Source organism: Homo sapiens, chromosome 15 (genome assembly GCF_000001405.40).
Source record: "Homo sapiens chromosome 15, GRCh38.p14 Primary Assembly".
Classification (NCBI taxonomy): Eukaryota; Metazoa; Chordata; class Mammalia; order Primates; family Hominidae; genus Homo; species Homo sapiens.
Genome location: NC_000015.10, coordinates 64,962,809 through 64,990,124, shown reverse-complemented (window position 1 = coordinate 64,990,124; position 27,316 = coordinate 64,962,809). Strand labels below are relative to the sequence as shown.

Below are 27,316 nucleotides of genomic sequence, written 5' to 3'. Positions count from 1 at the left end.
GGCCAGGCGCCTCCTCCACCTCCTCCTCCTCCTAGGTACGTAGGGCAGAACTAAGGCTGACCCAGACGTAACTCAGCCCTCTCCTCACGCCAGCCGCAGCCAAGCATCCCACGGAGCCTCCCCCCGCGCCCGTCGCCGTGGCGACCGCCGGGGCCACGCAGCACCGCCCCTTCCTCGCGACGTGGCCCCGCCCTCTGAGAACCCGGAAGCGGGAGTCTCGCGCCAGCTGAGCGGCGGTCGGGCGGGGGGAGCGCGGCGGCCCAAGCTCGCTCGGCCACGCGCCCCGCCCCCTCAGAGGCCGGCCTCCCGCACGCACCGCGCAGCCTGCTGTGCCCGTGGGTCCCGAGTGCTCCGCCGCCCGCCCCGACCCGGGCCCAGCCGCCTCCACGGCCCGCGCTCGTACTGGAGCGAAGAGCGGCCTCCTGAAGGAGGGGAAGGGACGTGGGGGCGGCCACGGCAGGTGAGGGTGGGCGAAGCCCTGGGAAGCGGCTGGGTGTGCGGTATGCGGGGTTGTAGGTGTGTGTGTGTGGCGCGTGGCTGCCTTGGTTGGTGTGACTTTGTGAGTGTGTTCTGAGTGGGCCGGTCCATGTGACCACGCACGTGATCACGTGCCCTTGTGAGTGTGTGTCTGGGGCCGAATCTGGGCTGTGGGGTGGTCGGTGTGCTTGTGACCCTGCCTTTGTGTGGCTGTCACCGGTGGGACTGGCGGGGAGCTGTGTGTGAGTCTCCAGCGGGAGGTGGGGGCGGCACAGGGCTTAACCGGGGCATCCTCCTGTAAACCCATCCTGGGGCTACACGACTGCAGCCCAGGAACATTTCTTTCTTTCTTTCTTTCTTTTTTTTTTTCTCAGCAAACTTTTAAGAACTGTGAGCAGAGGCCAGTAATTTTGGAGACAGGACCTCGGCCTGAAAGTGATAGATGTCTTTGTTGTTACTGAGTGTGGGCCAGGTGTAAGGTTTGTAAACGGGGGATGAGGAACAGAGCGGGACCGGAGTGTCTCATTTTTCCTCTTCTCGTTTTCCTGGGGAGTTATAAGTTAGACATTTATGCTGCTTCCTTTGTCTCCACCTACACTGGTTCAGCTCCTTTTGGCACAAAGATTCAACAAATTAAGGAGTAACTTTTTTTTTTTTTTTTTTTTTGAGACGGAGTCTCGCTCCGTCGCCCAGGCTGGAGTGCAGTGGCGCCATCCCAGCTCACTGCAAGCTCTGTCTGCTGGGTTTACGCCATTCTCCTGCCTCAGCCTCCCGAGTAGCTGGCACTACAGGCTCCCGCCACCACGCCCGGCTAATTTTTTGTATTTTTAGTAGAGACGGGGTTTCACCGTGTTAGCCAGGATGGCCTCGATCTCCTGACCTCGTGATCCGCCCGCCTCGGCCTCCCAAAGGGCTGAGATTACAGGCGTGAGCCATCGCGGCTGGCCACTGAGGAGTAACTTAATAGCTGTGTCCAAATTCCAAAAGCTTTTTTCCCAAGAGCATGAGAAGAGATGTCACAGATGTCAGGTAGGCACCTTTTCCTCCTGTAAGGTTTAGAGATAATGCAATGAAGAAAAGAGGGATAGATCTCCCCTGAAGAGATCTAAGAAAAGGATAGCTGTGTACTTCTGTGGTGAGGGATGGAGACGTGCATTAAAAAGCCAGTTGCATCTCCCAGAGACTCTCAGCTTCTAATATTTTGTTATGGCTAGTATTTATAAGCACAGATTTTCCACAATGCACATCAACTATAGATTGAAATAAAGTAGCAGAAACCTCTGACTAATTATGCTGGTTATGTGACTTAAACATTGATAAAGGTGATTTTGTTGACTTTAAAGTGGCAGGTTCTGTTGAAGCCATGAGGGATAGGGGCATAGTCACAACTGGCAGGTTTTTTTGTTTGTTTGTTTGTTTGTTTTTTGAGACAGAGTCTCACTCTGTCGCCCAGGCTGGAGTGCAGTGGTGTGATCTCAGCTCACTGCAACCTCCGCCACCCAGGTTCAAGCAATTCTCCTGCCTCAGCCTCCTAAGTAGCTGGGATTACAGGAGCCCATCACCGCGCCCAGCTAATTTGTTTTTGTTGTTGTTGCTGTTTTGTTTGTTTTTTTGAGATGGAGTTTCGCTCTCGTTGCCCAGGCTGGAGTGCAATGGCGTGATCTCGGCTCACCGCAACCTCTGCCTCCCGGGTTCAAGTGATTCTTCTGCCTCAGCTTCCTGCGTAGCTGGGATTACAGGCATGTGCCACCACGCCTAGCTAATTTTGTATTTTTAGTAGAGACGGGGCTGCACCATGTTGGCCAGGCTGGTCTCGAACTCCTGACCTCAGGTGATCCACCTGCCTCAGCCTCCCAAAGTGCTGGGATTATAGGCGTGAGCCACTGCACCCAGCCACAACTGGCAGTTTTTATTGTCCAGCAGCACAAGGGCCAGAGAAGACAGGGAGTCCACAGCACACCCTGAAGAGGGCTTTCCTTAGGCAAGATTAAGGCTAATATTGTGGCTCTTTTCCCACCAGCATGAACAGGTGCTTTTGTTTTTGTGAAGAACAAAATCATGAGAGATAAAATCAGTTTTGAGCTCATGGTCCACATTCTTTCTTATTCAGTACTGACCAGTTTGGTCACAATCTCAGTTAACCTTTGCCATATACAGAATATTCCTCTTATGATTTGGAAAAGTATACCCCTTTGGTGGATGAAAGAGAGCTAGGAGAACAAACTTTCCTATTCATACCACTCACAGCTGTTTTCCCTTTGCAGCAGTGATCTTTTTTTCACTTAGACGTCAGTTGGTCAGATGCAACATTTGGTATCCATTTTACCTTTCATGTACTGCCAAACTAGCACAAGTGTTAAAATTACTTGTCTCTACAAAAATTTAGTCACAGCGGAGTGGAATCTCTCCATCTTGTAAGATTACTTTTAACACGTTGGCATCCTGAGGTGGTTGTGAATTATTCTGAAGACTGTTGGTAAGGAACATCTTTCTATTTACTGCTATGGGAAAGAAGAGGATGACCGCGTGAATATGTGTGCCTGTGTATGTGTGTATTTGTATGGTGGTTTGGTTTGTGCATTGCAACTGATTTCAAAGCTATGAATGATTTATCCCATTTGGTGACTCTAGAAGCACACTTTCTGGCTTTAGTTAGCTAAGGTGTTTTATAAATCTATTGAGTAGATGTTATTTGCTAAACATGTTTTTATTTTCCCTCCTTTAGAATAGATTGTTTCTAATAATGCAATACTAGGAAATGTCTCCATTAAGAAGTATTTAGATGATATAGAAGTATTTCAAGTCTGTCCAGGTAGAAAATATTCCAGAATTAAGTATATGTGCTAGTTGCTTTCAATTAAAAGTTATAATCAGCTTAGAGAAAGCCTATAGTTAAAATGGCTTAGTTTTTTTTTGTTTTTTGTTTTTTTGTTTTTTGTTTTGTTTTGTTTTGTTTTGTTTTGTTTTTGAGACAGACTCTCACTCTGTCACCCAGGCTGGAGTGCAGTCTTGGCTCACTGCAACCTCCGCCTCCTGGGTTCAAGCGATTCTCCTGCCTCGCCTCCCGAGTATTTGGGATTACAGGCGGCCACTGCCATGCCTGGCTAATTTTTTTTGTATTTTTAGTAGAGATGGGGTTTCGCCATGTTGGTCAGGCTGGTCTTGAACTCCTCACCTCAGGTGATCCACCTGCCTCAGCCTCCCAAACTGCTGGGATTACAGGTGTGAGCCGCCGCGCCTGGCAAAATTTTTTAACATATTAATTTTTTTGTTTGTTTTTTTGAGATTGAGTCTCACTCTGTCGCCCAGGCTGGAGTGCAGTGGCACAATCTTGGCTCACCGCAACCTCTGCCTCCCGGGTTCAAGTGATTCTCCTGCCTCACCCTCCTGAGTAGCTGGGACTACGGGCGTGCGCCACCACGCCAGGCTAATTTTTGTATTTTTAGTAGAGACAGGGTTTCACTACCTTGGCTAGGCTGGTCTTGAACTCCTGACCTCGTGATCCACCTGCCTCAGCCTCCCAAAATGCTGGGATTACAGGCGTGAGCCACTGTGCCTGGCCTTAACATATTAATATTTAAGATAAAATGGATATGCAAAGAATTTTCTTTATTTCACTATATATATCTGTGCACACTAATTTTCAGTATAAGACTGGCTGATGATTTTCTTGGTACTTTAAAGCAACTTATGATTTTAACACACTTCTCTAAAATTACCATCTTAGCTTTGAGAAGAGAGACCATTATCACAATGTCAAGGTTGTAAATCAAGTTTAGTGTTAGAATGTCTACATCTGCTGTCTCCTCGGGGTTCAGCTTAGTACGTCTCCAAGGTCACAGTTGAGTCTACTGAGGGCTCTGTGTTCCTGAGGGAGCAGATCTCGAGGGCCACCAAGGAAGAGTTCCATTGAGTTTAGAATCCCCTGTTCCTTGCCAGTCCAGAGAACTCCCTCTAAAACGACAGTTCAGAGTCAGCCCGGGAGTTAGGTCTCACGAATCTCACCTCGTGTTAGCCGTGCTAGGATCAAGGCTTGCTCTTGAGGTAGAGGAAGTGGTACAAAGCAAATATTTGAATCCTTCCTGGTGGAATTTCCTCACTTGGCAATAAGAATCTGCAACAGGGAACTATAATTTCAGTTTCCTGTTATGACATAGCACAGATGCCTGAGCAAAGAGGGGCAGCCTTTTAGTTGAGGATGTTCAGCTAGGCCAAAGCTCACAGATGCCAGGGTTAGAAGGATGGCCCCCTTCATTCTCCTTAGAATGTAGTTATTCGTTCAATCAACAGATAATGCCTGCTGTGTGCCAAGCACTGATCTAAGCTTTGGGGACACAGTGGTAACACAGTCATAGATGAGGAAACAAACTCCAAAAGGATCAAGACTTATCTAAGATCACAGAGCTATGAAAACCAGAAGTCACTAAGCTCACAACAAAAGACTACACATTTTTTCCTAAGGGCAAATGTTTCATTTTGTTGTTAGTTATAGTGCCTTCAAGTTTACATTATAGATCTTTCTGAGGACATTGTGTAACTTTTAATCACGTCCATATGAGTGGCAAATTTGCCTGTATTTTGTATTAAGAACTACATGTAGGCGGGGCACGGTGGCTCATGCCTGTAATCCCAGCACTTTGGGAGGCTGAGGCGGGTGGATCATGAGGTCAGGAGCTCAAGGCCAGCCTGGCCAAGATGGTGAAACCCCGTCTCTACTAAAAATACAAAAAATTAGCCGGGCGCAGTGGCAGGTGCCTGTAATCCCAGCTACTCAGGAGGCTGAGGCAGGAGAATCGCTTGAACTTGGAGGGTGGAGGTTGCAGTGAGCTGAGATCACGCCACTGCACTCCAGCCTGGGTGACAGAGTGAGACTCTGTCTCAAAAAAAAAAAAAAAGGGAACTACATGTGAATTTCTGGTTATGTGCTATTACAGTTAGATTTATGGTGTATTGCGAATTTATCAGGAAGCAGGCTTAACTTAAACTTCTTTCTCTAGGCTGGGTGTGGTAGCTCATACCCGTAATCCCAGCACTTTGGGAGGCAAGATGGGAGGATTGCTTGAGCCTAGGAATTCGAGACCAGTGCAGGCAACACAGGGAGGCCCCCATCTCTACAAAACCAAAAAATTCACCTGACGTGGTGGTGTGTGCCCATTGTCTCAGCTACTTAGGAGGCTGAGGTTGGGATAATCACTTGAGCCTCAGAGGTTAAGGCTGTGGTGAGCTGTGATTGTGCCATTGAACTGCAGCCTGGACAACAGAGCAAGACTGTCTCAAAAATTAAAAAAGTAAAAAAACATCAACTCCTTTCTCTAGCGTGGACTATCCCTATAATCAGACAGGAGCATCTTTATTAAAGGGATTCTTAAGGTAATGTCAAAAGATAACTGATGGTACTGCAGTTGAGAACTAAGACAGGAAGTATGGTGTCAGAAAAGGCTGTCTCACATCTGGTCCTAGCATTGCCATGTGATCTTGGGTAAGTCATTTAAATTTTCTAGACCAGATTCCTTTTCTGGAAGAACTAAGGGTGTTGGAATAATTTCTGTAAGAGCTCTTCTGGTGGCCGGGCATGGTGGCTCACGCCTGTAATCCCAACACTTTAGGAGGCTGAGGTGGGTGGATCACCTGAGGTCAGGAGTTCGAGACCAGCCTGGCCAACATGGTGAACCCCCATCCCTACTAAAAATACAAAAATTAGTTGGGCGTGGTGGCGGGCACCTGTAATCCCAGATACTCGGGAGGCTGAGGCAGGAGAATCACTTGAACTGCAGGAGGTAGAGGATGCAGTGAGCTGAGATCACGCCACTGCACTCCAGCCTGGGCAACAAGACTGAGACTGTCTCAAAAAAAAAAAAAAAAGAGTGCTTCTGATTCTGTGATTGTAGTATTTCACCAAATTGTTTTCTGTAGTTGGACTATATACTGACAAAATAGCCAGTTTCCTTGGCTTTCTTCTTTAAAATATTGTTGGTATAGCTAGATGAGACTCTACATTTAGTTCTGATGTAAACATGAATTCTTGACGTGAAATATCACATGCTTTTATTTCAGGATTAACCTCCATTTCAGCTAATCATGGGAGAGATTAAAGTCTCTCCTGATTATAACTGGTTTAGAGGTACAGTTCCCCTTAAAAAGGTATGTATGGTTTTACTATACCTCTTATTTGCAAAATCTTGTATTGTTTTTGTGTGTGATTTAGATGTCATGTCTTAGTAGTGTTTGAGAGTAAAGGTTACTGCCGAGTATCATGACTGTGGGTTGCAGAGGATTAAGTTCACTCCTTCCCTGTCATGTACAGTCAACTTTTGAGACTCATTTTAGAGTGAAAGCAAGTGTAACTGTACTCATTTTTATTTATTTATTTATTTATATTTATTTTTGAGATGGAGTCTCGCTCTGCCGTCCAGGCTGGAGTGCAGTGCACTGCATGATCTCGGCTCACTGCAACCTCTGCTTCCCAGGTTCAAGAGATTCTCCTGCCTCAACCTGCCAAGTAGCTAGGATTACAGGCATGCGCTACCACACTCAGCTAATTTTTGTATTTTTAGTAGAGGCAGAGTTTCACCATGTTGGCCAGGCTGGTCTCGAACTCCTGACCACAAGTGATCCGCCCACCTTGGCCTCCCAAAGTGCTGGGATTACAGGCGTGAGCCACCGCACCCAGCCTGTACTCATTTTTTATAATTGCTTTTACATATACAAGCAAGCAGGTATGTATGTACTCTTCTGTATAGTTTAGTGGAAAGTTTACAGCAACTGTATAGTGAGTACAGTCAGATTATATTCCTGTTCCTCAGATTTAAGAATGGGGTCACATTATAGAGCTTCTGTTTGCAATGACATACTCATTCTGCCACAGTCATCTTCTAGAAGCTTTATTTTCCTGGGATGTTTGAAAACCCAAAACACTTATATTGCAGTTGAGTATTGACTCTGCTTCCCAAATTAATCCCAGATGTTTGGGGATCACACTAGACAAAGGCAGTTCAAGTCACTGAGTAGAGTAAAACCTTTGCTGATTCCCTTGCAGGAGTGTTAGAATCCAGTGATCTTAAGATCTTTTGCAGCTGTTTGTGATGGCTCATGCCTGTAATCCTAGCACTTTAGAGACCTAGGAGGATCATTTGAGGCCAGGAGTTTGAGACCAGCCTGGGCAACATAGCGAAACTCTGTCTCTATAAAAAAATGAAAAAATTAGCCAGGCATGGTGCTGTGCACCTGTAATCCCAGCACTTTGGAAGGCCGAGGCAGGAAGATTGCTTGAGCCTAGGAATTTGAGATCAGCCTGGGCAATATGATGAGACCCTTTCTCTACAAAAACTAGAAAAAATTAACTGGGCGTGTTGGTGCACGCCTGTAGTCCCGGACACTCAGGAGGCTGAGATGGGAGGATTGCTTAAGCCCAGGAAGACAAGCTTGCAGTAAGCTGTGATCGTGCCACTGCACTCCAGCCTGGGTGACAGAGCCAGACCTTGTCTCAAAAAAAAAAAAAAAAAAAAGAAAAGAAAAGAAAAAATGTGAGTGGCAAGATACACAGGACAAAAACATGAGCGTGAGATACATTATCACCATCTGTGACCTGTGGAAGTCCAAAGGGAACTGTTAGGCCTCTCTGGACTTTGCCTTGCTCCATTTATCTGCTCCTAGTGATGCCAGTGACCCTGGTTAGTGTGCTGCCACCCACAGAGTGACACTGTGGAGTCCATAGCCCTGCTAGTGAGGAGCTCTCAGAAAAAAGAGCCTGGAGGCCTTGAGTTTTTTAATATGAAAGTAGAATAAATACTGATTTGCATTGTCAAATGTTTAAGCAGTTAATGTACTTTTCTAAATACCACCAAAAGTGAAAGCAAAAATTAAACTAGGATGCCGTGAATAATAATAATAGCTAATATTTCTAGGACACTTAACATCTGCCAGACTCTGCTGAGCACTTGTCTTACCTCAGCTTGCCTTTTTTTTTTTTAAGAGACAGGATCTCTCCCTCTGTTGCTCAGGCTGGAGTGTTGTTGTATTTTTATTTATTTATTTATGTATTTTAAAGAGACAGGATCCAGGCCGGGCGCAGTGGCTCACGCCTGTAATCCCAGCACTTTGGGAGGCCAAGGCGGGTGGATCATGAGCTCAGGAGTTCGAGACCAGCCTGACCAATATGGTGAAACCCCGTCTCTACTAAAAATACAAAAAATTAGCTGGGCATGAGGGTGTGTGCCTATAATCCCAGCTACTTGGGAGGCTGAGGCAGGAGAATCGCTTGAACCTGGGAGGCAGAGGTTGTAGTGAGCCAAGATCGTGCCACTGCACTCCAGCCTGGGCTACAGAGCGAGACTCTGTCTCAAAAAAAAAAAAAAAAAAGGAGGAGGGGGAAGAAACAGAGAAGCAGCAGCCCTTTGGAAGATTATAAAGTAGTTCTAAGTAGTTCTGTGGAATACGTTAGCCCTGAGGAAAGAAAAGGAGATCAGAGGAGTTTGTCATGCATGCTAATCTGGTGTGAGCTCCAGGTTACCTTGTAACAAACAAGGCAGTAGTAGTAAAATTGTCAGTGAAATGACAGTGTAAAATAACATAAAAAGCAAATTTATAAGGTTTTCCACTTTTTTCTTTTAACCTTCCCTCCAGATTATTGTGGATGATGATGACAGTAAGATATGGTCGCTCTATGACGCGGGCCCCCGAAGTATCAGGTGTCCTCTCATATTCCTGCCCCCTGTCAGTGGAACTGCAGATGTCTTTTTCCGGCAGATTTTGGCTCTGACTGGATGGGGTTACCGGGTTATCGCTGTAAGTATTACTGATTAAAATTCAGACCCACGTTTTGTGTGTTTTTTTTTTTTTATGCTTCTGTCTCTCATCAGCTATAGTAATGGGCACAGTTTGTTTGTTTGTTTGTTTGTTTGTTTGTTTGTTGAGATGGATTCTCACTCTGTCGCCCGGGCTGGAGTGCAGTGGCGTGATCTCTGCTCACTGCAACCTCCGTCTCCCGGGTTCAAGCGATTCTCCTGCCTCAGCCTCCCGAGTAGCTGGGATTACAGGCGCCCGCCACTACGCCCAGCTAATTTTTTGTATTTTTAGTAGAGACGGGGTTTCGCCGTGTTGGCCAGGCTGGTCTCGAACTCCTGACCTCATGATTCATCCACCTCAGCCTCGCAAAGTGCTGAGATTACAGCCACGAGCCACTGCGCCCAGCCAGGCAGTTTTTTTAATTGAGGAAAGATACTGTTTGCTTATTTTAATATGTGAGATGAAGCCTTTTGAAGGAGGCTGGTGTGAGTCCACGGTCACACAGAGATTCAGAGGGAACAAACCTCTTTTGGCAGCCTCTCCATGCCCAGCATTTACGTGCATTCTCTCCTGACGCCCTTCTCTCAACTCAGAGCGGTAGGAAGCGTTGTCCTTCTTTACAGATGAAGAAACTGAGGTCCGGCTCACACAGCCAGTAGTGGTGGAGGGAGGAACTGAGCTCCGTCTCCTGGCTCTGTTTCTGCTCCTCATTTTATCACAGCACTGCTTCCAGGGTTGCTGAGCATGGAATATTAGACAACAAAGGGATTTGCTAACATACAAGTGACTTGAAAAGCTGGCTTTTCATGTAAATCTTTGATATTTGAGGTGAGATTCATTAATTAGCTCATATGTTAGCATTTGGTTAGGAAGTTTTTTTGTTCCTGATTGTTACTTTATAGCTGAGTTTGGTCTAAATCCAGTTTCCCACTGATCATTCTTGAGTCTTCTCTGGGAGAAAGGTGTGTGGGAAAGGCACTCTTCCTGGTGACTGATTTTTTTTTTTTTTTTTTTTTTTGCATGCTTCCACATTGGTCAGGACATTGGTCTCCTAATTTTCCAGGAAGGAGAGAGTCTCTTTAGCTGGCAGTCGCCTGCAGTATTCACTTGTAAGTGGTACTCCCAGTGGGAGTACTGCTGTTAGTGTACGTTTTATTTACTGTTTAAAGGGATGAAAAGGCAGGTCACGTCTCTCCTTTTGGAAGGTAACTGAAAATTCTACTGAGGTTACCACCAACTGAGGCCACACAAAGGAAATCAGTTCCTCTTCCTCCTGAGAGCCCGTCTCTTACTTGAGAAAACAGTTATCATCACTACCTGCTGCTTTTCTCCTGGGTCTTTTCTTCTCTGGCTTAATTTCTCCAGCTTCTTTAACCATTCCTCACGTGACATGTTTGAGCCTCTGCAACATAATCCTCCTTTGTTCAGATTTTCAGTCATTCCTCTTCACAAACAGCATTCTAGAACAGGGTGGGAACTGCCCTCATCCCAGCCCTCTGCAGCCTGAGACATGACACTACCATTTTTGGTGGCCCCTGTTGATCAGCCAGGGAGGGGGAAACCGAGCAACCCATAGGCGCCCGTCCCACTCGGGAGTGCTGTCCAGCAGTGTGTTTCTCGCTCCACAGTGGCAGGTCATGAGAGCCTTGGCTTCTGGCTGGATGTTTCTTCTTCACTCTCAAGGTTCTTGTTGTGCGCTTTCCCTGTTTCATTAGGAGGAGAGTTAATCAAGAAAAGGTCAACAGTGTCTTCAAAATTATTTTGTCATCAAGATGTGATCAGAATGTTCAGCTCCATGAGGTTTTGGAACTTATTTAATATTTGTTAGTATCTAGCAGTTAAAATGCACAGATCTTTTTAATTTAAATTTTTTTGTTGTTGTAATTGTAGATTCACATGCAGTGTAAAAAATAGTAAAGAGAAATATACCTTTTACACATTTCCCCAGTTTCTGCCGAACCTTTGCAAAACTGTAGTACAAAATCACAACCAGGATATTGATATTACTACAATCTACCAATCTCATTCAGGCTTCCCCAGTTCTGCTTGAACTCATTTGTTTGTATGTATTAAGTTGCATATAATTTTGTCACCTGTGTGGGCATGGATATTTATAAATTAAAGACTCCATGAAAGTATCATCCCCTTTCTTTTAGGCTATCATCTGACTCAAATTCTCAAACTTTCTGCTAGGTAGAATCAGTTCCCCATTCTTTCTTGGAATGGTGGAAGTCTTATCCACAAATAGAATTTTAATAATGAAAGTCATACATCAAATCTAAAATGATTCCATAATTCATATGGCAGTATCCATTCCAGTGATTCATCAATAACAAAATGAACCTAAGTGCTTAAACAGTAAGCCTGTTAGACGAGGTTTTTGGGGGAGTTTTTTTGTTTTTGTTTTTGTTTTTTGGAGATGGAGTCTCACTCTGTCACTCAGGCTAGAGTGCAGTAGTATGATCTCGGCTCATGCAACCTCCACCTCTCAGGCTCAAGCAATTCTCATGCCTCAGCTTCCCCAGTAGCTGGGATTACAGGTGCCTGTCACCATGCCTGGCTAATTTTTGTATTTTTTAGTAGAGATGGGGTTTCACCATGTTGTCCAGGCTGGTCTCGAACTCCTGACCTCAAGTGATTCACCCGCCTCGGCCTCCCAAAGCGCTGGGATTGCAAGCGTGAGCCACCACGCCCAGCCAGTTGGTTTTATATGTATATAAAAAAGGAATTCTTGGCCAGGCGCGGTGGCTCACGCCTGTAATCCCAGCACTTTGGGAGGCCGAGGCAGGCGGATCACAAGATCAGGAGATCGAGACCATCCTGGCTAACATGGTGAAACCCCGTCTCTACTAAAAATACAACAACAACAAAAAATTAGTCGGGTGTGGTGGCACATGCCTGTAGTCCCAGCTACTCAGGAGACTGAGGCAGGAGAATCGCTTGAACCTGGGAGGTGGAGGTTGCAGTGAGCCGAGATCGCGCCACTGCACTCCAGCCTGGGCGACAGAGCGAGACCCCAGTTCAAACAAACAAAAAAAAGGAATTCTTAGGGGACAAACCTGAGTCCCTTAGAAATGAGTTTGTGACTTGTACTTCTTTTTCCTCATCATTGCCAGCATTAATAGATAGGCTACGTATAGTCAAGTACCATACTTCTTTTGTCACAAACAGAAGTACAGTAGCCTGGCATGGTGGCTCACACCCGTAATCCCAGCACTTTGGGAAGTTAAGGCAGTTATATTGCTTGAGGCAGGCAAATCGCTTGAGCCCAGGAGTTCAAGACCAGCCTGGGCAACGTGGCAAAACCCCATTTCTACAAAAAAGTATACATATAAAAATTAGCCAGGCATGGTGGTGCATGCCTGTGATTCCAGCTACCGGGGGGCTGAGGTGGGAGAATCGCTTGCACCCAAGAGGTTGTGGCTGCAGTGAGCTACAATCGTGCCAATGCACTCCAGCCTGGGTGAGAGAGAGTGAGACCCTATCACAAAAACAAACAAGCTGGGTGGAGTGACTCACGCCTAAAATTCCAACACTTTGGGAGGCCAAGGCAGTTAGATCACTTGAGGTCAGGAGTTCGAGACTAGCCTGGCCAACATGGCAAAACTGTGTCTGTACTAAAAATACAAAAATCAGCTGGGTGTGGTGGTGGACATCTGTAATCTCAGCTACTCAGGAGGCTGAGGTAGGAGAATCGTTCAAACCCGGGAGGCGGAGGTGGCATGAGTCGAGATCGCGCCGCTGCACTCCAGCCTGGGCAACAGAGGAGACTCTGTCTCAAGAAACAAACAGACACCCCAAAGTACAATAAATGAAATAGAGTAACTAAGTCATTTAAAAGAAGAGGAACAATTTTACTGAATACCCTCTTAAAGAAATGCTACCAAAAAGAGAGGAAGCTCTCCTTAGAACAAATTTTGTTTCCATCTCTCCTGAGCCATAATTCTGAATGAAATTAGATTTAAGAGAAAACGGTATTTCTTTACTGGAATGGGTTCTGCTGTATTCATCCTTGAACCCCAGACTTTTTCAGCTATTTAGAAAGGAAATTGATGGGAATTGAAATTGTTACTCACGTAATATCATTAGAGTGTGCTTACTTTTTATACTCTTTTAATTTGGTCTGTTAGAAAAATGTGAAATATGAAGTTTAGTAAAAAGTGAGAGCTTATTTTTACATATTTTGAATAAGGAGCAGCGCTTGAGCAAACGAGAAATGTCAGTGTTTGAGTCCTAAGTTTTTCAAATACGTGAGTTGCATTTTTACTTTTATGATTTTTAAAAATAAAATTATCGTTATTATTTCAGTTGCAGTATCCAGTTTATTGGGACCATCTCGAGTTCTGTGATGGATTCAGAAAACTTTTAGACCATTTACAATTGGATAAAGTGAGTACCCTGAAACTAATTACATACATACAATTTTTTTTTTATTTTTTGAGATGAAGTCTCACTCTGTCACCCAGGCTGGAGTGCAGTGGCGCGATCTCGGCTCACCGCAACCTCCACCTCCCGGATTCAAGTGATTCTCCTGCCTCAGTCTCCAAAATAGCTGGGATTACAGGCGTGTGCCACCATGCCCGGCTAGTTTTTGTATTTTTAGTAAAGATGGGGTTTCGCCAGGTTGGCCAGGCTGCTCTCAAACTCCTGACCTCAAGTGATCCGCCCGCCTCAGCCTCCCTAAGTGCTGGGATTACAGGCGTGAGCCACCGTGCCGAGCCCTCTTTTATTTTTTAATAATAGCTTTATTGCAACATAATTCATATACCATATAATTTACCCTTTTAAGTATACAGTTCCATGTTTTTCAGTATACTCCCAGGTATGTGCAACCATCACTGCAGTCAATGTTTTATAATTTTTTTAATGCCAAAAACCTCATATTCATTAGCAGTCGGTCCTCATCTTCCCCCCTACTAGCCCTGCAACCTAATTTATTTTTATCTCTATGGATTTGCCTATTCTAGATATTTTACATAAGTGGAATCGTATCATATGTGGTCTTTTTGACTGGCTTTTTTTATTTAGCATTGTGAGTTTAAGGTTCATTCATGTTGAAGCCGGAATCAATACTTCGTTTCTCTTTACAGTTAAATCATATTTTTATAAATATGCCATATCTTGTTTAACGATTCATCAGCTGATGCACATTTGGGTTGTTTTTACCCTTTGGATATCATGAATAATGCTGCCATGAACATTCATGTACAAGTTTTTGTGTTGACATATGTTTTCAGTTCTCTTAGGTATGTGTTTAGGGGTGGAATTACTGAATCACAGTTTTCTTAGACATAAACCACTAAGTGGTTTTGAGTTTTTTCTTTTTTTTTTTTTTTGAGACAGGCTTTCACTTTGTTGCCCAGGCTGGAGTGCGGTGGTGCAATCATGGCTCACTGCAGCCTCAACCTTTTGGGCTCAAGCGATCCTCCCACCTCAACCTCCCAAGTAGCTAGGACTCTAGGCACGTACCACCATGCCTGGCTAATTTTTGTATTTTTAGTATACAGGCCTTTTCCATATTTCCCTAGCTTGGTTTTGTTGGTTTCTTTTTTTCTTTTCTTTTTTTTTTTTTTTTTAAGACGGAGTCTCGCTCTGTTGCCCAGGCTGGAGTGCAGTGGTGCGATCTTGGCTCACTGCAACCTCCGCCTGCCAGGTTCAAGCGATTCTGCTGCCTCAGCCTCCCGAGTAGCTGGGACTACAGGCACGCACCACCATGCCTGGCTAGTTTTTTTGTATTTTTAGTAGAGACGGTTTCACCATGCTGGCTAGGCTGGTCTCGAACTCCTGACCTCGTGATCTGCCTGCCTCGGCCTCCCAAAGTGCTGGGATTACAGGTGTGAGCCACCGTGCCTGGACTGGTTTTGTTTTCTAATGCAATCTGTGAATGATATTTTTTTTAATTATATAACTTGGATGCCAAGTTGTATTATCTTGATGGACTGTATAAATTGCATTTAAATACAATATTTTCTAAATTTCTAGCTGCTGTAAATATTTTAGTCTATTGGCTAGTGATAACATATTCTGTGGTTAGTGATAATTGAAGCAACTTTTTAATACTCAGGTTCAAGATTGATCAGTATTTCAGAATCTGCCTTATATTTGTTTATAATTAGGTTCATCTTTTTGGCGCTTCTTTGGGAGGCTTTTTGGCCCAGAAATTTGCTGAATACACTCACAAATCTCCTAGAGTCCATTCCCTAATCCTCTGCAATTCCTTCAGTGACACCTCTATCTTCAACCAAACTTGGACTGCAAACAGGTAAGAACAAAATTACTTTTTTTGTTCAGTGAAATTTTGAAAATGTTGGCTTTTGAGTGTTTGGTACATTAGGAAGGGAAGACTTATATCTACTTCTATATTCTGCAACTTCCTTGGCTTTTTTTTTGAGACAGAGTCTTGCTCTGTCACCCAGGCTGAAGTGCAGTGGTGCAATCACAGCTTACTGCAGCCTTTATTTCCCAGGCTCAAGCGATCCTCCTACCTCAGCCTCCCAAGTAGCTGGAACTACAGGCAGGCATGCATGGCACCACACCTGGTTAATTTCTGTATATTTTTGTACAGATGAGGTTTTGCCATGTTGTCCCATGCTGGTCTCTAACTCCCGGGCTCAAGCCATCTGCCCACCTTGGCCTCCCAAAGTTCTGGGATTACAGGCATGAGCCACTGTGCCCGGCTCTTTCTTGGCTTTTAAAATTAGAAACAATTACCTTTGCAAAAGGAAAGAATTGAATGAACTCTAAATTCAGCTTTTTTTATTACCTTAAATTTTTAAATTTTGTTTAATATTCATTAATATACTTTTGCTGTTTTTATTCAGTATTTCTATGTAACTAATACCATGTTCTGTTTATCCCACTTATTATTATGTGTAAACAGTTCCGTGTATTGACTGACATAGTTTTATTAGGCATTTGGCTTTTCCCAATTCTTCATCACATTCTACAGTAAATCTTTGTACAAATTACTGGGTTTTTTCCCTTTCCAATTTATTTCCTTGAGATATGTTCTCCAAATGGAAAGAATAGAGCATTTGGTCTGTCAACAGATGTTCTGCACATCATGACCCTTGATATTAGTCTGTTCTTCCAAAAGATAGAAATGGTGGAAATGAGGCTGGGTGCGGTGGCTCACACCTGTAATCCCAGCACTTTGGGAGGCCGAGGCGGCCGGATCACCTGAGGTCGGGAGTTCGAGACCAGCCTGACCAACGTGGAGAAACCCTGTCTACTAAAAATACAAAATTAGCTGGGCAAGGTGGCACATGCCTATAATCCCAGCTACTCAGGAGGCTGAGGCAGGAGAATCACTTGAACCCAGGATGCGGAGGTTGTGGTGAGCCGAGATCACGCCATTGCACTCCAGCCTAGGCAACAGGAGCGAAACTCCATCTCAAAAAAAAAACAAACCAAAAACAAAATGGTGGAAATGCTTTGGGTGCAGCCAGTGGGGTACTTGTTTCCTAGGAGCCATCCTTTCATTGATTTTATCATTTTAAGTAATTGGTAGGTATCTATGATGCCATACAGCTGGCTTACTGTGCACTTCTTTCATTGCTGGCAAGGCGAGGCTCTAGCCTTAAAATAAAGCCCAGTGGCCAGGTGTGATGGCTCATGCCGTACTCCCAACACTTTGGGAGGCCAAGACAGGAGGATCACTTCAGGCCAAGAGTTTGAAACCAGCCTGAGCAACATAGTGAGACCCCATCTCTACAAATAACAATAATAATAAATTAGCCAGGTATCATGGTATGCACCTGCAGTCCTAGCTACTCAGGAGGCTGAGGCAGGAGGATCGCTTGAGCCCAAGAGTTCAAGGCTGCAGTGAGCCACAACTGTGCCTCTGTACTCCAGGCTGGGTGACAGAGCAAGACCCTACTTCAAAAAAAAAGCCCAGTGAGTAAACACATCTGTATGATCAGTGTTTTCAAATAATGTATAGGGAAATATCGTTTTCACATCTACTTAAAATTGCACTCTGATATTTTTTAGTTTTTTTTGTTGTTGTTTGTTTTTTTGTTTGTTTGTTTTTGAGATGGAGTCTCGCTCTGTCGCCCAGGCTGGAGTGCAGTGGCACGATCTCAGCTCACTGCAAGCTCTGCCTCCCAGGTTCACGCCATTCTCCTGCCTCAGCCTCCCGAATAGCTGGGACTACAGGCGCCCGCCACCATGCCTGGCTAATTTTTTATGTTTTTAGTAGAGACGGGGTTTCACCGTGTTCACCAGTATGGTCTCGATCTCCTGACCTCGTGATCCGCCCGCCTCAGCCTCCCAAAGTGCTGGGATTACAGGCATGAGCCACTGTGCCCAGCTATTTTTTAGTTTTTCTGATGTTATCTTAGTAATTACTCAGCATTCATGCAACAATTTCTTGTATACATTAGCTACTTTACAAATCCTTCCCGTCCAGATAATGCACTAAATAATGCTCATTATTTTTGGTGATTTTTATTGCTGTTCTAATTGTTAGAATGCCAAGACAGCCCCCATTCAGTTTGTGCTCTGGCACATCAGCTGCTTATTGTCAAATATCTGAGTGCTTACTGTGTGCCACACACTGAGGATCCAGGAGTGAGCAAAGTCAACAGGGTCCACCCCTTACAGAGCGTACTTAGACCTCATCACCTTCAAAAGATAAGAAAGTGATGGGGCTGGGAGAGAACTTAGAAAGTTAACTGGAAGGTGACCTAGTGGTCCTTTTGAGGGAAGCTCAACTTCCAGCAAGGCTGTCCCAGTGGTAATAAGCATCAGAAGGTAGTTTGCACCTCATCTAAGTAATTTTCGTCATAGGTTTACAGAAATTAGTGTTTGCCCTCCATGATGGCTCTTAACAGTTGAAATTAATGGAATAAATATAAACTAAAGATCATATATAGAAATCCGTAAAGATCTGACCAGTCACAGTGGCTCACACCTGTAATCCCAGCACTTTGGGAGGCAGAGGTAAGAGCATTGCTTGAGTCCAGGAGTTCTAGACCAGCCTGGGCAACAGAGCAAGATCCTGTCTCTACAGAAAAAAAATTTTCTTTTTTGAGATGGGAGTCTCGCTCTGTTGCCCAGGCTGGAGTGCAGTGGCACGTTCTCACTGCAGCCTCTGCCCCCCAGGTTCAAGTGATTCTCCTGCCTCAGCCTCCCAAGTAGCTGGGATTACAGGCGCTGGCCACCGCCCCTGGCTAATTTTTGTATTTTTAGTAGAGACGGGGTTTCACCATCTTGGCCAGGCTGGTCTTGAACTCCTGACCTTGTGATCACCCACCTTGGCCTCCCAAAGTTCTGGATTACAGGCATGAGCCATTGCGCCTGGCTCAGTAAATTTTTTTTTTTGGAGACGGAGTCTGGCTCTGTCGCCCAGGCTGGAGTGCCATGGCACGATCTTGGCTCACTGCAAGCTCCATCTCCTGGGTTCACGCCATTCTCCTGCCTCAGCCTCCCGAGTAGCTGGGACTACAGGCGCCCGCCACCAAGCCCGGCTAATTTTTAGTATTTTTAGTGGAGACGGGGTTTCACCGTGTTAGCCAGGATGGTCTCAATCTCCTGACCTCGTGATCTGCCCACCTTGGCCTCCCAAAGTGCTGGGATTACAGGCATGAGCCACCGTGCCTGGCCCCGGCTCCCCCAGCTCAGTAAATTTTTAAAAAATTAGTCAGGCCTGGTGGTACGAGCCCGTAGTCCCAGCTACTCGGGAGGCCAAGGTAGAAGGATCACTTGATAGGAGTTTGAGGCTACAGTGAGCTATGATCACAATACTGCACTTCAGCCTGGGCAACAGAGTGAGACCCTGTCTCTAAAAGTTTTTTTTTAAATTTTTTAATTAAAAAATAAAAAGAGGCCAGGAGTGGCTCACGCCTGTGATCCCAGCACTGTGGGAGGCTGAGGTGGGTGGATCACTTGAGGCCAGGAGTTCACCACCAGTCTGGCCAACATTGCAAAAGCTCATCTTTACTAAAAATACAGAAGTTAGCCGGGCGTGGTGGCATGTGCCTGTAGTCGCAGCTACTCGAAAGGCTGAGGCATGAGAATTGCTTGAGCCCGGGAGGCAGAGGTTGCACCCAGCCGAGATCATGCCACTGTACTTCCAGCATGGGTAACTGACTGAGACTCTGTCTCAAAAAATAATAACAATAATAAATTTAAAAAATAAATCTATAAATATCAATTTGCCTTGAATTAGCCAAGTTGAATCTAATAGTAGCAAATTTGGGGAGGTGCAATAGCTTTCATATTGGTATTTTGAAATCTGTTTTGAAATATCAATCGATAAAAACATAATATCAACCAGAAGGAAAGAATACTTCTCTTAATATTCAGTTTTCCAAAAGAAATAGTTTAATCCTTGGAAATAGGGCCAATTAGAGAAAAAAAACAATCTTGGACTCATCAGAATGTCTATCTCAGTAAAGGTATTTTGAAATATCTCTTATAATTATCCTAAATCCTCAAATAAAAGTTTAATTATATGAAGCCATAACTCTTTGGAAGCTTGGGAAAGTGTGTGTAAAAACTAGATGCTGAGCTCTTTGGAGGAGGGGATTAGGACTTTTTATTTCTAGATCCCAAGCTAATACAAAGCTTTAATGTTGAATGAATATTTGCCATGTGTAGTCTTGGAAGTTTAAATTATAAGGTCTTTGTGTTTTACAGCTTTTGGCTGATGCCTGCATTTATGCTCAAAAAAATAGTTCTTGGAAATTTTTCATCTGGCCCGGTGGACCCTATGATGGCTGATGCCATTGATTTCATGGTAGACAGGGTAAGGATCATGACATTGGGTTGGGGACACATTGTATTGGGAATTTTCACATCTACTTGGTTCCAGAAGATAGATCTGTCTCACAAGTATGTGTAAGAGGTATTTGCTAAGCAGAGTAATACATCTGAGCAGATATTATTGCTGGTAAGGGCTTGCCTACATCAGTGCTTCCCACCAGCTATTCATCAAAATCACTTAGGGGAGCTTTCAAAAATACAGATTGTAAGGCCTCACAGCAGATCATCCATCTGGAATCCCTGGGCATGGGATCTGGGAATCTATTTTTACTTCACACTTTTCCTCTACCCACCAGGTAAATCTGATGAACCAGGTCTGTTGGCTTGCATTTAGGAACTGCTGGGCTAGATGATTTCTCAAATCTCTTTTAAGATCCCTTAAAGGTTTATCTTAAAAAAAAAAAAAAAACAAAAACATATATCTGTCACCTTTGAGCAGTAGGAATTGGCTTGCTGCCCATGGGCACCTGGCTGGAGTAGGCAGTGTAGGCTGAGGGCTGTAGAAGGCCGGGTTTCATTGGTTTGTACCCAGGTTTCCAGAATAGAAAAATGCCACAACCTCCTGAGAAGCCCAGTTCATGGTCTCTCACCTAAGTTGTGGTTCCTCACTGATGACTTTTCTGGCCCCACCACAGATGATACCACCTTTATAAGCACAAATGTTGTCTGTGGATTTAATGTAAATGTGAAAAACAAAATTATTTCAAAAACTTTACCTGTGTTTCTTCCTGCAGCTAGAAAGTTTGGGTCAGAGTGAACTGGCTTCAAGACTTACCTTGAATTGTCAAAATTCTTATGTGGAACCTCATAAAATTCGGGACATACCTGTAACTATTATGGATGTAAGCTTCCTTTTAAGTAAAATAGCTGCTTTACTTTTTAAAATGTGTATGTCAAGATCTCCTATAAAACTATTTGATAACTTTCAATGTACCTCTTCAAATGCTGCCTTGGCTTTTGTTTTTACCCTCCAGCTTTCTCAATTCCAAAATAATCTGTTTATTGCTTATCTTGGATTTCTTTCTGGCAGGAATAACACCATTGAAATCAAAATAGGCCGAGCACAGTGGCTTATGCCTGTAATCCCAGCGCTTTGGGAGGCTGAGGCAGGAGGATTGCTTGAGTCCAAGAGTTCAGGACCAGCCTGGGCAACATAGTGAGACCCTGTCTGTATTTATTAAAAAAAAATAAAAATAAAAATGAATCAAAATAAATTTAAACAAGGGAGTCTACCCATTTGATGTATTTTTGCTGTTCTCATCAATAGATATTGCACCATATATTGCACATATATGGGCAGCAAAGAGAAGGTGCTTCACAAGGGTAACAAGGGTAGAGAATCAAGAATTCCATAGTTTAATTACCACAAAAGCTTGCTTATTTTTTTATTGTGGTAAAATGTACATTTAAAATATGCCATTTTAACCATTTTTAAGTGCATAGTTCAGTGGCATTAAGTATATTCACAGTTCGGCAACCATCACCATTTTCACAACATTTTCATCATTCCAAGAAGAAATTGCATACCCATTAAACAATAACTCCTGTTCCCTTTCTTCCCCCGGCCTCTGATAATCAACGGTTTTATTTTCTGTCTATAAAAATTTACCTATTCTAGAACCTCATATAAGTAGAATCATACAACATTTATCCTTTTGTGTGGCCATTTCACTTAGCATAATGTTTCACAAGACTTATCTTGAAATGTTATACATGTGTCAGAATGTCATTTCTTTCTTTTTTTTTTTTTTTTTTTGGAAACAGGGTCTCACTCTGTTCCCCAGGCTGGAGTGCAGTGGTGCAATCTCAGCTCACTGCAACCTCTGCCTCCCGGGCCCAAACAATCCTCCCTCCTCAGCCTCCTTAGTAGCTTGGACCACAGGCTCACACCACTACGTTCGGCTAATTTTTTGTAGAGATGGGGTTTCACCATGTTGCCCATGCTGGACTCAAACTCTGGGACTCAAGCTGTCTGCCTGCCTGGGCCTCCCAAAGTGCTATGACAGGCATGAGCCACCACGCCCAGCCTATTTCTTTTTAAAGCTGAATAATATCTACCAATAAAACCAATGTTGGTTTATACCACATTTTGTTTATCCATTCATCCGTCAGTGGTCACTTGGGTTGTGTTCAGCTTTTGGCAATTGTGAATAGTGCTTCTATGAACATTGGTGTAAAAGTATATGTTTGGGCAGGGCACAGTGGCTCATTCCTGCAATCCCAGCACTTTGGGAGGCTGACTCAAGAGGATTGCTTGAGCCCAGGAATTCGAGACCAGTCTGGGCAATACAGGAGACCCTGTCTCTACTACTAATAAAGAAAATTAGGCCGGGCGCGGTGGCTCACCCCTGTAATCCCAGAACTTTGGGAGGCCAAGGCGGGTGGATCATGAGGTCAAGAGATCGAGACCATCCTGGCCAACGTGGTGAAACCCGTCTCTACTGAAAATACAAAAATTAGCCGGGCATGGTGGCACACACCTGTAGTCCCAGCTATTCGGGAGGCTGAGGCAGGAGAATTGCTTGAATCTGGGCGGTGGAGGTTGCAGTGAGCTGAGATCGCACCACTGCATTCCAGCCTGCCAATAGAGTGAGACTTCGTCTCAAAAAAAAGAAAAAAAAAAAAAGGAAAATTAGCTGGACATGGTGCCACATCCCTGTGATCCCAGCTACTTGGGAGGTTGAGGTGGGAGGATCACCTGAGCCTGGGGTGAGCCATGATCATGCCACTGCGTTCCAGCCTGGGCAACAGAGTGAGAACCTGTCAAAAAATATATGTATATTTGTTTGAGTTCCTGCTTTTAATTTTTTTTTATTTATTTTTAAATTATTTTTTAAAAATAATTTTTTGTTTTTTATTTTTATGGGTACATAGTAGATGTATCCTACTTTTAATTCTTTTGGACATATCGTTTGAAGTAGAATCACACTTTTTGAAGTACCACCATACTGTCTTCCACAGTGGCTATACCATTTCATGTTCCCACCAACAATGCACAAAGATTCCAGTTTCTCTATATCCTGGACCCTTATTTCTGGTTTTTTGGTTGATACTTATCCTAATGGATATGAATTGGTATCTCACTATGGTTTCAATTTACTTAAAAAAAAATCATATGATTATTTTGCCTTATAAATGGATTTGTTCCTAAATTCAAATAATATGGTTTTTTGTTTTTGTTTTTGTTTTTGTTTTTTTGAGACAAAGTCTCACTCAGTTGCCTAGGCTGGAGTGCAGTGGCGCGATCTTGGCTCACTGCAAGCTCCGCCTCCTGGGTTGACGCCATTCTCCTGCCTCAGCCTCCCAAGTAGCTGGGACTACAGGCACCCACCACCACGCCCAGCTAATTTTTTGTATTTTTAGTAGAGGCAGGGTTTCACCATGTTAGCCAGGATGGTCTCGATCTCCTGACCTCATGATCTGCCCGCCTCAGCCTCCCAAAGTGCTGGGATTACAGGTGTGAGCCACCGCACCTGGCCATAATATGGTATTTTTAATAATTGGTTTTTGTTGGGAAATTATTCATTATAAGCGTGTAAACAACTTCTTATCATCCTCTGCCATAATCGCTGCATTCTGACATTTGCCATAACATAGAACAAGCTTTTCAATGGTCCTCACAGGACATTTGCTCTGCCTGCCCTTCTTTCAAAGCTGTGCTCACTGCCTGGGTTCATGGTCACTGAAAACAGCCTGTAAGTTTTAGTTGGAGATGCACTTAAACATACAGATTTGGTATGGTATATTTAGTATACAATTTTTTTTGCTTATTTTACTTTTTGAAAAATTTTGTTGCATGTAAAAACGTAAATGTGTATGGGTATTGAAGGATGTCTAGAATCATATGCTGCAAACTGGTTTCCCCAAGAAAGAATAGCTTGTACTCTACATTTTTTTGGAATTTTTTTCACTGAGCCTAAATGACTTAGTTTATTGCTTTAAATTAATGATAAAAGTAAAAAGTTCTTTTGGGGCTTCGTGATCTTTTTGAAACTTATTGACATTTGCAATGATTGTTCTCTATTAATATTCTGTTAATCTACTTAGCTATATTTGAGGAAAAAGGAAATTCATGGTAGAATTTCCCCCGACCCCAGCCGGGCTTGGTGGCTCACGCCTGTAATCCCAGCACTTTGGGAGGCCGAGGTGGGCAGATCACCTGAGGTCAGGAGTTTGAGACCAGCCTGGCCAACATGGTGAAACCCCATCTCTACTAAAAATGCAAAAATTAGCCAGGCGTGATGGCGCATGCCTGTAGTCCCAGGTACTTAGGAGGCTGAGGCAGGAGAATCACTTGAGCCCAGGAGGTGGAGATTGCAGTGAGCCGAGATCACACCACTGCACTCTACCTCAAAAAAAAAAAAAGAATTTCCCCCCACCAAAAGAATGCAGGAGATGCTGTGCAGCAAAATCTGTAGCTAATGTCTTCGGTTGGAGTTATAAGTCACCAGGGATCAGCAGTGGAGGTAGTTCAGGCTGCTGGGGGTTCAGGATTGTCTTCATATGAAAGGAATACTTAGGGTAACATTTCCATAATGTGAAAAGAACATATTAAAACACTAGTTGATTACAGCTTTCTGTATGTGTGTGTGTGTTTTACCTTTCCTATGGTGCTGAAGCTTTGTGTTTTTTAAAGGTGTTTGATCAGAGTGCGCTTTCAACTGAAGCTAAAGAAGAAATGTACAAGCTGTATCCTAATGCCCGAAGAGCTCATCTGAAAACAGGAGGCAATTTCCCATACCTGTGCAGAAGTGCAGAGGTCAATCTTTATGTACAGGTAAGGCCTAGCTTGAAACCCAGAGCACTCTGAGCCCAACATATGTTTGCAACATAAAGACTTCTTTTAATGGACTAGTTAGGGAATCAGTGAACTACAGAATTCCTTGTAGAAATGAGGCATTGACTTGATAAAAGTGGTTTACATTTATAACTTGTAGGAGAATTTGAACAGGTATATTAGAGATCCCCCAGTGACTCTCTGGCCACCATCCCTTTTCTAAGGACAGCAGGCCTGCATTCACACACTGAGGTTACTATTGGTATGATGTGACCTTGCCCTCTGGACACAGTGAATTCCATCAGAGCAAGACACCAGACCTAAATGGGGTCAATCTGAGTCCTGTGAAGTGACTTCTTGATCTAATTTTAATGCATTAAAAGAAAACCCTACCAGGCGTAGTGGCTCATGCCTGTAATCTCAGCACTTTGCGAGGCTGAGGCAGGCAGATCACAAGGTCAGGAGGTCAAGACCAGCCTGGCCAATATGGTGAAACCGTCTCTACTAAAAATACAAAAAAAATTAGCTGGACGTGGTGGTGCACACCTGTAGTCCCAGCTACTCGGGAGGCTGAGGCAGAAGAATCACTTGAATCCTGGAGGCAGAGGTTGCAGTGAGCCGAGGTCACGCCATTGCACTCCAGCCTGGGCAACAGAACAAGACTCCGTCTCAAAAAAAAAGAAAAGAAAAGAAAGCCCTAACAAACACCATCCCTTCATACTCTAACTAAATGGATAATAGAATAGCAGTGAGGGGTGAGTGCCCTGGCAGTTTGGCAAGATGAATCAAGAGCCTTAAAAAACCAGTTATATCCTGGCCACGCATGGTGGCTCACACCTGTAATCCCAAAAACCAGTCATATCCCTTGATCCTGTCATCCCCTTATAGAAGACAGGATCCTAAACAGGAATACTTGATGCCCAGAGATATTCATCATAGCAGCACTAGTCACAGTAGCAGAAGATTGGAAGGACCTAACTCACAGCAGCAGAAGGGAAGGGTAAACATCTCATGAGCATGCACCATCTAAGATGTCTCAGGAGACTCTGCAGGGACTCAGGGAGACTGCTCAGGGAGTGAGGAACAAAGATCCCAAATGTGGTTTCAAAAAATTGTTTGACTTTTCTCTATTTAGTATGTCTTAGTCTGTAAATTTTAGAAGTATAAAACATTTGTCCACTATGGTGATGTTTTCCTACCAAACTTTTTATAGAAGGCAGTATACATTTTACTCTGTAATGCAGCCATTTAAAACAATGATTCTGGCAGGGTGCAGTGGCTCACACCTGTAATCTGGCACTTTGGGAGGCCGAGGCAGATGGATCACTTGAGGCCAGGAGTTCAAAACCAGCCTGGCCAACATGGTGAAACCCTGTCTCTACTAAAAATACAAAAATTAGCTGGGCATGGTGGCGGGCACCTGTAATCCCAGCTACTCGGGAGGCTGAGGCAGGAGAATTGGGTGAACCCGGGAGGCGGAGGTTGGAGTGAACCAAGATAGTGCCACTGCACTCCAGCCTGGGCAACAAGAGTGACACTCCAGCTCAAAAAATAAATAAAATAATGATTCTGCATTTCAACAGATACATTTGCTGCAATTCCATGGAACCAAATACGCGGCCATTGACCCATCAATGGTCAGTGCCGAGGAGCTTGAGGTGCAGAAAGGCAGCCTTGGCATCAGCCAGGAGGAGCAGTAGTGTGTCTCTCGCTGTCAATGATGAGTTGACCCGGTGTGTTCTTGTATAGTCAGTGGCATCAGCACCCGTCAGCCAGCCTTTTCCTTCAGGTTCGTCAGGCTCACCGGTTCTCACTGTGTCTGGGAAGTAGGACTGATGGTCATCTTCATGACAGGCGGCATCTCCACTAAGCCTGTGTAACTGTTCCCTCTTTGGTTTTCTTAGCTTTTGAATTTGAAGAAGTACTTTTGAAGACTCCCATTTTAAGAACCGTGCAAATTTTGCTACCAAAAGTCTTCACCACTGTGTTCTTAAGTGAATGTTAATTTCTGAGGTTTGGGACTTTGTGGTGGTTTTTTTCTTCTTTTCTTTTCCATTCTTCTTTCTTTCTTTTTATGTTGTTTGCTGTAAATGCTGCACATCCAGATTGCATATCAGGACATTGGTTATTTTATGCTTTCTTGGATATAACCATGATCAGAGTGCCATGGCCACTACCCCACTGTTTGCTCTCCTGCAAATCAACTGCTTTTAATTTACACTTAAACAAATTGTTTTGAGTGTTAGCTACTGCCTTTCTAGATATTAGTCATTTGGAATAAAAATTCAATTTAACTGAGTCGCTTTTGTGATTATTGTTGCTGCCCAACTGGGCTACACAGGCCTAGGACTTTCTGAGAAGTAGGTCATGGTTGCCAATTCTGTGTGACTTTGGGTAAGTTACTTAATCTCCCTGAAGTACAGTTTGCACATCATAAAATAACCCTAAGCTATCATTTATTGATCTGCTACTGTGTGCCAGGTACTTTTCTCGTCTTCTTTCCCCTGAGTG

General features: G+C 44.0%; 1 protein-coding gene across 3 annotated transcripts, besides 6 other annotated features; it reads left to right on the top strand.

Annotated features, from left to right (window-relative positions):
• Window positions 3-502: an enhancer, noted in NCBI's record as "H3K27ac hESC enhancer chr15:65281961-65282460 (GRCh37/hg19 assembly coordinates)". NCBI's record gives its function as "activates a minimal SCP1, AML or CMV promoter by ChIP-STARR-seq in naive H9 embryonic stem cells {active_cell/tissue: H9 hESC(naive)}" and the evidence as "EXISTENCE:reporter gene assay evidence [ECO:0000049][PMID:30033119]".
• Window positions 3-1,004: a biological region, named in NCBI's record as "H3K27ac hESC enhancers GRCh37_chr15:65281459-65281960 and GRCh37_chr15:65281961-65282460".
• Window positions 18-507: a silencer, noted in NCBI's record as "silent region_6548". NCBI's record gives its function as "represses an Ori minimal core promoter by ATAC-STARR-seq in GM12878 lymphoblastoid cells {active_cell/tissue: GM12878}" and the evidence as "EXISTENCE:reporter gene assay evidence [ECO:0000049][PMID:35858748]".
• On the top strand, window positions 211-27,103 carry SPG21 (SPG21 abhydrolase domain containing, maspardin). 3 transcript variants are annotated; one of them, NM_016630.7, is made up of 9 exons: window positions 211-460; window positions 6,532-6,618; window positions 9,100-9,261; window positions 13,570-13,650; window positions 15,378-15,523; window positions 19,903-20,011; window positions 20,763-20,870; window positions 24,665-24,805; window positions 26,389-27,103. In NM_016630.7, exons 2-9 carry the CDS (start codon window positions 6,556-6,558, stop codon window positions 26,503-26,505), a joined length of 927 nt encoding a protein of 308 aa, NP_057714.1. In that variant the 5' UTR covers window positions 211-460; window positions 6,532-6,555; the 3' UTR covers window positions 26,506-27,103. The 3 variants fall into 3 exon arrangements, with proteins under 3 accessions (NP_057714.1, NP_001121362.1, NP_001121361.1); NM_001127889.5 differs by lacking the exon at window positions 211-460 and adding an exon at window positions 655-719; NM_001127890.5 differs by lacking the exon at window positions 13,570-13,650.
• Window positions 480-774: a silencer, noted in NCBI's record as "tiled region #9874; K562 Repressive non-DNase unmatched - State 1:Tss". NCBI's record gives its function as "represses a minimal TATA promoter and a strong SV40 promoter by Sharpr-MPRA in K562 cells {active_cell/tissue: K562}" and the evidence as "EXISTENCE:reporter gene assay evidence [ECO:0000049][PMID:27701403]".
• Window positions 503-1,004: an enhancer, noted in NCBI's record as "H3K27ac hESC enhancer chr15:65281459-65281960 (GRCh37/hg19 assembly coordinates)". NCBI's record gives its function as "activates a minimal SCP1, AML or CMV promoter by ChIP-STARR-seq in naive H9 embryonic stem cells {active_cell/tissue: H9 hESC(naive)}" and the evidence as "EXISTENCE:reporter gene assay evidence [ECO:0000049][PMID:30033119]".
• Window positions 628-677: a silencer, noted in NCBI's record as "silent region_6547". NCBI's record gives its function as "represses an Ori minimal core promoter by ATAC-STARR-seq in GM12878 lymphoblastoid cells {active_cell/tissue: GM12878}" and the evidence as "EXISTENCE:reporter gene assay evidence [ECO:0000049][PMID:35858748]".

What these genes read in the sequence shown, in the direction of transcription:
- SPG21 (NM_016630.7), top strand. Translation starts at nt 6,556, where the DNA reads ATGGGAGAGATTAAAGTCTCTCCTGATTATAACTGGTTTAGAGGTACA. An exon ending in GTACAGTTCCCCTTAAAAAG is followed by an intron (nt 6,619 to 9,099) that starts GTATGTATGGTT and finishes CCTTCCCTCCAG; the next exon opens with ATTATTGTGGATGATGATGA. An exon ending in CAAACTTGGACTGCAAACAG is followed by an intron (nt 15,524 to 19,902) that starts GTAAGAACAAAA and finishes TGTGTTTTACAG; the next exon opens with CTTTTGGCTGATGCCTGCAT.